General features: G+C 40.7%; 1 pseudogene; it reads left to right on the forward strand.

Annotated features, from left to right (window-relative positions):
• On the forward strand, positions 3748-5205 carry LARP1BP1 (LARP1B pseudogene 1; annotated as a pseudogene).

Raw genomic sequence — 9080 nt, forward strand, 5'->3', positions numbered from 1 at the left:
TTTGCAAGCTGATGAATCAAAAGAGATGTTTAAGTCTGTAAGATGAATCCACACATTGCAAAGCTTTTAAACAGATAGTTTATTTCTAGTTTTTATTGTGGGATATTGATTTTACACAATAGTCCCCAAAGGGCTCCCAAATGTCCCTGTGCAGATTCTAAAGAAAGAGTGTTTCCAACCTGCTGAATCAAAAGAAAGTTTTAACTCTCTGAGATGAATCCACACATTGTGAAGCTTTTTCACAAATAGCTTCTTTCTAGTTTTTATCATGGGATATCTGTTTTCACTATACGACTGAATGGGCTGCCAAATATCCCTGCACAGATCGTACAGAAAGAATGTTTCCAATCTTCTGAATCAAAAGAAAGGTTTAACTCTTTGAGATGAATCCACACATCACGAAGCATTTTTACTCATAACTTCTTTCTTGTTTTTATCCTGAGATATCGGTTTTTCACTATAGGCCACTGTTGACTCCCAAATGTCACTGCACAGATTCTAAAGAGTGGTTCCAACCTGCTGAGTCAACACAAGGGTTTAACTCTGTGAGATGAATCCACATGCCACAAAGCATTTTCACAGATACCCTGATTAAATTTTTCTTGCAGGATATTGATTTTTCTTTATAGGCTTCAATGGGCTTCAAAATATCCTTGTGCAGCTACAGAAAGAGTGTTTCCAACCTGCTTAACCAAAAGAAAGAATTAAATCTGTGAGATGAATCCACGCATTGCCGCAAAGCATTTTCACTGATAGTTTCTTTCTCCTTTTCATTGTGGGATATTGCTTTTTCAGTACAGGCCTCTATGGGCTCCTAATGTCCCTGAACAGATTCTACAGAAAGAGTATTTCAATCTGCTGAAACAAAATAAAGGTTTAACTCTGTGAGATTAATCCAGATATTGCAAAGAATTTTCACAGACAGCTTCTTTCTAGTTTTTATCGCAGGATATCTGTTTTCACTGTAAGACTCAATGAGCTCACAAATGTCCTTGTGCAGATTCGACAGAAAGGATGTTTCCAACCTGGTGAATCAAAAGATAGGCTTAACTCTGTGAGATGAATCCACACATCTCACAGCATTTTCACAGATAGCTTCTTTCTTGTTTTTATCATGAGATATTGGGTTTTAATATAGGCCTCAATGGGCTCCATAATGTCCCTGCACAGATTCTACAGAGTGTTTTCAGCCTGCTGAATCAAAAGAAAGGTTTAACTCTGTGAGATGAATCCACATATCGCAAAGTGTTTTCACAGATAACTTCTTCCTCGTTTTTATAGTGGGATATCTTGTTTTTACTATAGTCCTCAATGGGCTCTCAAATATCCCTGAGCAGGTTCTAAAGAAACAGTGTTTCCAACCTGCTGAATCAAAAAAAAAGTTTTAACTCTCTGGGATGAGTCCACACATCGCAAGTCTTTTTCACAGATAGCTATTTTCACTGTAGAATCCAACGGGCTCCCAAATGTCCTCGCACAGATTCTACAGAAAGAGTGCTTCCAACTTGCTGAATCGAAAGATAAGAATATCTCTGTGGGATGAATCCACACATCACAAAGCATTTTCACCCATAGCTTCTTTCTGTTTTTTATAGTGGGATATTTGTTTTTTTACCATAGGCCTCAATTGGCTCCCAATGCCCCTGTGCAGATTCTACAGTAAGAGTGTTTCCAACCTGCTGAATCAAAAGAAAGATTTAAGTCTGTGAGATAAGTCCATACATTACAAAGTGTTTTCACAGATAGCTTCTTTCTAGTTTTTATCGCGGGATGTCTGTTTTCACTATAGGACTAAACGGGCTTCCAAATGTCCTTGCACAGATTCTACAGAAAGAGTGTTTTCAACCTGCTGAATCAAAAGAAAGTTTAAACTCTGTGAGATGAATCCACACATCGCACAGCATTTTAAGAGATAGATTCTTTATCGTTTTTATTGTGGGATATCGGTTTTTCACTATAGGCCTCAATGGGCTCCCAAATATCCCTGCGCAGATTCTACAGAGGGTTTCCAACTAGCTGAATCAAAAGAAAGTTTAACTGTGAGTTGCATCCACACATCGCAAAGCTTTCACACAGATAGCTTCTTTCCAGTTTTATCACAGGGCATTCGGTTTTTTACTATAGGACTCACAGGCTCCCAAATGTACCTTTGCAGATTCTGCAAAACAGTATTTCCAAGTTGCTGAAACAAAAGAAGGGTTTATCTCTGTGAAATGAATCCATACATCCCAAAGCATTTTCAAAGATAGCTTCTTTCTAGTTTTTATCACAGGATATCATTTTTCATTACAGACCTCAATGGGCTCCGAAATGTCCCTGAGCAGATTCTTCAAAAAGAGTGTTTCCAGGGGGCCAAGTGGCAGAGCTGGGCTGGGGGGATGGGGGTGGGGGGTGAGGGTGGGGGTTGGGGATGGTGGGGAGCACAATTCACTTGCAGCCCCCCAGGTCAGGGGTCGACTCTGTGTCCCCTCCCTTAGCCTACGTGAAACCTGGCTTTAGGACCTAAGGGCAAAGTGAGCGCCTGGTTCTCCAGGTGCCATGTGCGTGGACTGCCCATGCCCCTGGCTGCTGTTGCCCTGTGAGCAGGGCAGGAGCCTGCAGCCAGCCACAGAGGCCTGGTGTGCACTCCACCCCTGAGCCCGCAGTAAGGGTGGCCTCTGCCCGGGAGTCAGGAGTCATCCCCTTTGTTCTTCCTTGCCCTGGGAGGGCCGCTAGGAGGGGGTAGGCCCTCGGCCGGGCGGGGCCGGTGGGCACCTGGGCGGGCGAATCTGTCAACTCCTGTGGGAGGCCCTGTGAGGGCAGCAGCCGGTGAGTAGCCATATCAAGCTCCTTAGGGAGGCTCCACCCCATCCTCTGGGGCCGCCCTTCCTCGGCGTCCACGGCCCCGCGGGCAGTTACCTGTTCTAGGTGTTTGTGCCCCCCGACTCCGGTAAAGGTCCTCAGCCCCGGCCTGCTACGTCTCAGCTGCTGCCCGCGCCAGGTGAGGGCTCAGGGCTACTGGTTGGGGCTCCCGGCGCTTGGTGTCTGGCTCTGGGAGTGCGCTGCCGAGAGGATTGGGCCGGCAGGCGTTCGGTTCCGGGAGGGGGCGGCACGCCGGGAACTGGGCGGCCTAGGCTGGCTGGTTGTGGCGGTGACGGCGGCTGTCTCTGGGGTTCTCTGCCCCCAGCCGGAGCCAGTCGGTGCCCTGGCGGTGAGACGGGCAAGTTGGGCTCCCTGGCCTCGGGGCCACCCCGACTGGGGCGGCTGGGGCAGAGGGACGATATTTGCTCACTACCCGGTGTCTGCCGCTCATTCTCAGGAGGATCCGCCCGCTGTGACTGCTGAGAGGGAGTCGCTGTTGGCCAGGGTGAACCGGCCGGCCGAGCATCAGCCCCTGGCCGAACATGAGGGCAAAGTGGCAGCGAGGGAGGAGAAGGCCAAGGCCACCACCAGCGAGGGGGCGCGGGGAGAGCCATCCTCCCTGGTGGTGCCTACACGCAGCATGCCCCAGGTGGCTGTCCCCGTGAGGCCCTTGGCGCTGCATCTGGCGCACAAGGCGCGTGGGCCCGGGGGCCCTTTCAGCAGGGAGCCGCGGTGGCCAGTGCCGCCGCTGCTGCGGGATCCATTGGCCTAGGATACCATGGAGGAGGCGGCAGCTGGCCCTAAGGAAAAGCGGCAGCCGCCCCTGCTGCTGCCTAAGGGAAATCCCTGGAACAAAAAGCCTTCACAACACCTGTCCCCAACCACAACAGGTCGGCCGCAGCCAGCGCTGGAAACCCTGGAGGCAGAGTTCGGTTCCCTCAAAATTATGAAAGCAGGAAAACTCAAGAAAAAGAAATCCAACAAGGCTAGTGATTTCAAGGATATGGAGAATTGGCGAACACCAAGTGAATTAGTGAACACTGGATATCAGAGCGTCCTCAGCCAAGGAAATAAAAAGCCACAAGATAGAAAAGAAAAAAGAAGAGAAGGTTGGAAAGAGAAGTAAAAGAACAAACAAAACCGGGAAACAAAATTAAATGGTCCTGGTGAAAATGTCAGTGAGGATGAGGCTTAGTCAAGTAATCAACGAAAGAGAGCTAATAAGCACACGTGGGTACCACTCAGATGATGTAAGACCAGAGAGTCAAGAAAGACCTGGATCCTGGAACAGCTCAAGATGTCAACCTGAAGCAAGTAAACCAACACATAACAATAGGAGAAATTATATATGAAATTGGAGGTGAGATAGAGATAAATATGGTTATCAAGAACATGGTGAAAGGACTTTTCAGCCATTTCAAACAGAACTTAATACCAGTATGATGTATTACTATGATGATGGTACAGGGGTACAGGTGTATCGTGTGGAAGAAGCATTGCTTAAAGAGTGTATTAAGCGTCAAATTGAACATTACTTCAATGCAGAAAATTCGGAAAGAGACTACTTTCTTCGAGGAAAGAGGGGTGAACAAGATTCCTTGCCTATTTTCCTGATTGCTGGTTTCCAACGTGTTCAGGCTCTCACTACAAACCTTATCACAGAGGCACTGAAGGATAGCACAGAAGTAGAAATTATGAATGAGAAAATGAGAAAAAAGAACCAGAAAAATGGCCAATTCCAGGCCCTCCTCCATGCAACGTACCACAAACAGACTTCTCTCAACTGATTGTCCAGAGTTTGTACCAGGCTAAGCCTTTTGCTCGCATACAGAGTCTGCCCCAAATTCCCCAAGAATTGGAAGCCCATTGACTCCAAAGAAAAATAGTGAAACAAGTATTCTTCAAGCAATGTCTAGAGATTTGCCAGTTTGCCTGACTTGGACTCAGAACCTGGGATGGAAGTAAAAAAGAGACATCAGCCAGCCCCAGTGAAATTGAGGGAATGAGTGTCTGTTCCTGAGGGGTCATTAAATCAGCTATGTTCTTCAGAAGAAACAGAACAAGAAGAACTTGATTTTTGTTTGATGAAAAGACTGAACAAATAGGATGAAAAAACACATTAACTGATTGGTCTGATAATGATTCAGATTATGAAATTGATGACCAAGACTTAAACAAGATTTTGATTGTAACTCAGACACCACCTTATGTGAAAAAACATCCTGGAGGAGATTGAAGAGGCAACCACATGTCTCAGGCAAAAATCACATCTGAACTTACTAAAGTTATCAATGATGGTTTATATTATTAGGAACAGGATCTATGGATGGAAAAAGATGAAAACAAACATACAGCTGTAAAGGTGAAAATACTGAGAACGCCCTTTCTCATATGAAGGATAAAAACAAGGTTACTATGGAAAAAAAAAGTAATTCTATTAACTAAAATGTTATATTAAACTTATATAGCATTTATGTTTGTAAGTAGCTAAACTGTTGTTAAGCGCAGAATTACTTCATGTTTTTGAAAAGAATGAAGATATTTTTAAAAGTTTCAACAATTTTTCAATTTTATCATTAGATGTTTCATATTTTATATTTTATTTTATTTTCCCATTGGAGCCATGTGATATTTATTGCGATTCTCATTTTAAAAATAAGGAAACAGAGTAGATAATGTAACATGTGCAATATCATGGAAATTCTATGTGTGAGAACAGATTTTCATACCTAACTCTGATGGGTTCAAAGGCTCCATATACTTAAAATTCCATCTGCTTCTTAATTACGGTGTTTAGATTTTAATTGTGAATTAAATCTTGGACATTCACTATGTAGTAAAGATTCTGAACAAAGAAACTTAGTTTTCTTCCTTATTAATCTTCAACTTCCTGAGTTTAATGAAAATTAAAAAGTGTATAGAGTTTATTGATAATATAGGGATTGGCAGAGTATCATTCTTAAGTACTTAATATTTTTGTAATGCTATATTCACACTATGTTAAAAAGGGGAAAGTGTTTTAAATAGTATTTTATGAAAATATTTCTTGTTTTTTGAGGAAACATGAATACTTTAATAGGTTGTAAGTCTTTATTCCTTTACAGTGTGTTCGAGTTTTTAAAATGATGAAAAGTCATCTAAGCATACACCTTCTTAATAGACTGAAAGTTATAACTTGCATACTAAACTTTGATTTAAGAAATATGCTAACATACTGTGAGATATTTTCTTCTATGTTTCATAATCTTTCTCTGGAGAAATCCTAAAATAGAAGGATCAAATACTTAAAAAAATTGTGAGAACTTAAGTTTGGTGTTAGATTTTTCACATTTACATTAATTTTACTCATGTGGTCCTAGGATAAATAATTTTTGTATTTTCCTGCTCTTCAATGGTATCTTCATCACAATCCAAATACACTGATCATTAGATGTTTAAATCTTTGAAATCTTTATTCTAATGGAGCCTAGGGTAGTTATATAATCTACCCTAAATTATCGATAATGGCCACTGAAGTTCTAAATTTTCCTTGGTAGAATCTTGTCAAATTTTTGATTATTTAGTTCAATTGACACCACATTGCTGAGATTTATTGAAACACTAGTAATTGCTAATATTCAAATGAAAAGAACACACAGAATACAAAGAATTAGGCACTGATATTCTTGTCCCTACCCCTCATTTCCTCTATAACATCCCTGAGCAATGAAACCAAGCCAATTAAGAAGTTAATACCAAGGTCAGGAAAAGAGAAATAAATGATGTCTTCATAAAGACTTAGCAAAAATGTTCAGTTTTGGATGATTTTGGAAATAGTTAATAAAATTCTTCTCTACTTATGCTGATCCAACTCTATGTGGGCGTCCCGCTTCTACATACTTCAACTTCCCCCTTTCCTCTCTGCTCTCTCTTCTCTGTCTGTAGCATCTGAACCATCCCCTTTTCTCTTTCATGCACTGGCCTGTTCTGAACATACCCCATTCCTTGGATATTAAAATAATATCTTACAGCGCAGTTAATAATAATGACCAAATTCTCTGTTTTGTTTTAACTTAAAATCTTGTTTAATATCACATTTGCATAATTTAGTTCTTATAAAGAAAGGCTAAAAGTTCACTGAAGGATTTGGGGTTGCTTTATCAACTCTTACTTTGGATTCCCTAATCTCCATCAATTAGTTTATATCCTTGTAGGTCCTGGCGATGTGAAAACTTGGTTAGAAAAGAGCAGGAAGGATTGATTTTCAGAATACTATCAAGTATATTATTGAAATTTGACCGTGAATGGATACTAAATGAGTCCAAGAATAAGAAAATTCATCTTAGCAGTTATGTCTGATGTCTGATGTCTTTCTCTCAAACTGAATGATCAAAAATTCAGTCTGATAGACTAAAAAGCATTCATTTCAAAGATGACTTAACTGGAACCTTCTGGGAATACGCTGCTCTGAATGAATGTAAAAATACCATAAAAACCATATCTACTTTCCTTGTGGATGATTTTAAACCTTCTGTTACAAACAAAAGATAAGATGGCAGACTTCCTCCCTTTCCTGAATTACAAGAGCTCGCTGGGCACATCGAAGACATTTTGACCAAGAAAAAAATGCATACCAAATTAATAACTCTTAAGATTAAGCAATTAGCTAAACCATGGTTAAGGAAATGACTATATCTAAACTAGAAAAAAACCCATTGCTAAAATTGTAAGAAAAAGGAATACCACAGGAAAAATTGCCCTCTCCTATCTTAAAATATAAAATCTATTAAATAAACAAAAGACAAACATCATCCAATAAAATGTTGACTCTCAAAAAAAGAAGTCACTCCCATCTGTCCACAAATGCCCTTAACAGCAAAACACTGTTTCTGGGTTGTATCAGTGCCATATTGTCATTTATAAAATCTCCTGTTTTCCATAATTTCTTTCTTAGAATAATGAAAAACTGTCAGTGGCAGGAATCTTGAATGACCTTCAGATTTGGCCTTCTATCTCAGCCACTTCTTCTCTCTGTAGACCCTCTATTAATCAAAACATTTGTTTTGTTTTGTGATTCTATTCTGACGATTATGTGGGGAAGAGACCTACATTTTCAATGTGGTGATACAGTTTTAAATTGTGAACAAATCTCTTCCTGGAAATTCATGAAAAATAAAAAAGAAAAATCAATAGCATAGAATTTGATAATGAACCAGATTGATTACAATATTCATTTTCTTTTGCTTCTGTTGCAAATTTACACAGATTTAGTGACTTAGAATAGTATATCTAGTATCTTACAGTCCTGGAGGTAAGACTTCAACAATGAATCTGAAGGGACCAAATCAAGATATCTGTAGTATTGCATTTATTTGGGAGGCTTCGGGGAAGAATCTGTTTCCTTGCCTTTTCTAGCTTCTAAAAGTTGCCCAAATTTCTTGGTTTACGACCACCTTTCTTTTTCTTCGAAGTAATTTACTCCAGCCTCTTGGTTCATTGGCACATCTCCTTTTCCTCACTTTGACACTTTTGACTCTTTCTTATAAGGATCTTTTATTTTATTACACTGGGCCCACCTGCATAGTACAGAATAATCTCTCCATGAATCTCAAGGATCTTAATGTAATTTCATCTGCAAAGTTATATTTGTTATGTGAGCTAACAAATTATTGGCGTTTATGACATAGATGTCTTTGGTGGGCCATTGGCCTACCACAGTTACCCTCCACTGTTATCTTTGAAGTTGAATCTATTCCTGATTGTTTCTCTCCTAAAGAAAATTTATATGTGGGACAAATAACACTGAAAGTTCTCAAGTGACCTGGCTATGGTCTTAAAAAATTGTCCTAGGAAGAGAGAAAGTGGCTTTATGAAGACCGATGTCTATTGCAATTGCATACTTCCAGAAAGGATTTATTAACCCTTTTAATGGACATTTTAATATGTTTCCCAACCAAAACCACTAATGCTTGGAGCTACAGTTTTGATTAAAATAAGAACTGAGAATATTTTACAAGTTTAGATATTAAAAGAACTCACAAGAATGCACAAATCATACTCTTGCAAAGCTTTTGGCTGGGTGCGGTGGCTCACGCCTGTAATCCCAGAACTTTGGGAGGCTGAGGCAGGTGGATCATGAGGTCAGGAGTTCGAGACCAGCCAGGCCAACAGAGTGAAACCTTATCTCTACTAAAAATACACAAATTAGCCAGGCATGGTGGCGCATGCCTGTAGTCCCAGCTACTTGGGAGGCTGAGGTG

This window comes from Homo sapiens, chromosome 4, assembly GCF_000001405.40.
Source record: "Homo sapiens chromosome 4, GRCh38.p14 Primary Assembly".
Lineage (NCBI taxonomy): Eukaryota > Metazoa > Chordata > Mammalia > Primates > Hominidae > Homo > Homo sapiens.